General features: G+C 39.1%; 1 annotated feature.

Annotated features, from left to right (window-relative positions):
• Nucleotides 294-838: an enhancer, noted in NCBI's record as "NANOG hESC enhancer chr2:83971862-83972406 (GRCh37/hg19 assembly coordinates)". NCBI's record gives its function as "activates a minimal SCP1, AML or CMV promoter by ChIP-STARR-seq in primed H9 embryonic stem cells {active_cell/tissue: H9 hESC(primed)}" and the evidence as "EXISTENCE:reporter gene assay evidence [ECO:0000049][PMID:30033119]".

The raw sequence follows: 2,007 nt of genomic DNA, 5'->3' as shown, positions 1-2,007 counted from the left end.
TCCATATTTTTACTGTCAATGTATTATCCACTGAAATACACCGAAATTAAACTTTAGCATTTAATAATTAGCTATCATGTGTTATCAAATTAAAAACTCCTTTCTTCATTCATGGCATGGTCTCTCCTTTATATTAGTGCCAGTGTTTGTATCTGCTCCAGGAAAAGAGACACTTATTTATTTATTTATTAAGCAAACCCTCACATAAAGGCCAGGCAGTGATACAAGGCTTCATCAATTTTAACTCATTACAAATATGAACTCAAGAGTCTTGTTTCTTAGTTATTTTAGACAAAGATTTTAAGATCTTATCATAGCCCCACACTTCCAAAACAGCTGATCTTACTGATTTTCCAGTTTCCTCTCTTCCCCGCCACCTCCAAATATACATGCAGTGAATTCAATGTTTCTGCATTTTATCATTCCTCAGCAAGTGTTAGGAGGTAGGCAGTATAACAAAGTCAGTATGTGCACAGCATGTTGGCTTTGAAGATTCTGAAAGCTCTACTCTGTCATTTATAATGACAATGTCCCACTGCCTCCTCATCATGAATTGTCTAATCGAGATGCGAATGCATACTGTCACAACACGGTGTGAACAACTATTAGCTATAGGAGAAGCCTGAATATTGTTGTGGGGTAAAAGTTGAAGAATGAGCATACCCAAAATATAGAAAGGAGAAGATTCTGAAAAATAATGTGCCCAATTTGGAATGGAATGTATCCCAGCAAGGAATCACATTCAAGACAGTTAGCTCAGGCAGATAAGCACTTAGTAAAATGATAGGACTGACTAGGTAAGCAGGATGACTAGTCAAGGAGCCAAGATGAGAGAAAAGCATATGAGACCAGGTCACTTTGCACTCATCCCCCACGGAGTCCCTATTCTACTCTTTCCATCTATACACATATAGAGAACTAAATGCCTTCATTACATAGAATAGAGTAGGCAGGCAGGCAGCTTGTGAAATACTTTAGGAAAAAGAGTTTGCTTTTCTTCAGAGAAGACCTGCACTGTGTTGATTGGTACCGAGGGGTGCTTGTCTCATCCCAGTGATGGAGCAGTGACTGGAGAGAAAGGGAGTGATAAAGGAGGAGAGGAAATGATGCTGGAAAATGCAGCAGACATGGAGATATGGTGGAAACTTTTCAGGGCAGCTAGACTTTCTGCAGGTTTATTGATTTTCTTTTTGAAATAGCATTTGAAAGGCTTCTCTCAGGTTTGTGAGTGAGAAGATTTTTAGGCAAGGCTATGGCAAAGACATGTTTATGGTTGACACTGTGTTATTTCTCAGTTTATGGTACCTGTTTGGGGAATACGTTTATATCCTTCTTACTGCCGGCATTTACCAAGCATAGATGCCACTTGCAGAGAGTGATTTATTTTTTGCACCATTATATTTTGAAAGACTTTCAGGTTACAAGAAACCTTTTAAATTAGAGCCCATGATTTTAAGATTAATAACTGTAATTACAGAGCTCTGTTATAGCAGAAAGAGCTGTAGCTTGCCTGTGAGATTGAATATGAAAGGTCCCTCGTCCAAGGGAATAATAAAAGCATGTTTTTCTGTAAGGACAGCCAGTAACAGGAAGACACTTTCTCCCTGGAGAATACACGGGGGTGGTGAGGGTTAAAGCTTTGCTGAAGTTATGGTGATTCTCTGTAATCTAGCCCTGAAGACCAATTCAGGTCATAATCCCTTTTTTTTTTTTTTTTTTTTTGTGATGCCACACTCACCTGGGAAATTAGGATTGTTTTGACCCTATCTCCCCAGCCTCATACTTCAAAGTTTGCTGTGATTTAAAATGTTCCCTCCAGTAGCTGCAGCCCAGCAGAACTGCAATCTGGTTAGGCAGCAACTGCAGGGACATTCGTTTCTCTAATGATAAGTGGCCAGAGTTAAGCAGAGACCTGATAGTCCTTCTGTACTTTAGGGGAACAAGAAACTATCACTCCACTGCAAGAAACCCTTAAAACATTTATAATGATGAAAAATGGTAGTATTA

The sequence above is a fragment of the Homo sapiens genome, chromosome 2, assembly GCF_000001405.40.
Source record: "Homo sapiens chromosome 2, GRCh38.p14 Primary Assembly".
Classification (NCBI taxonomy): domain Eukaryota; kingdom Metazoa; phylum Chordata; class Mammalia; order Primates; family Hominidae; genus Homo; species Homo sapiens.
This window is presented reverse-complemented; position numbering and strand designations above follow the sequence as displayed.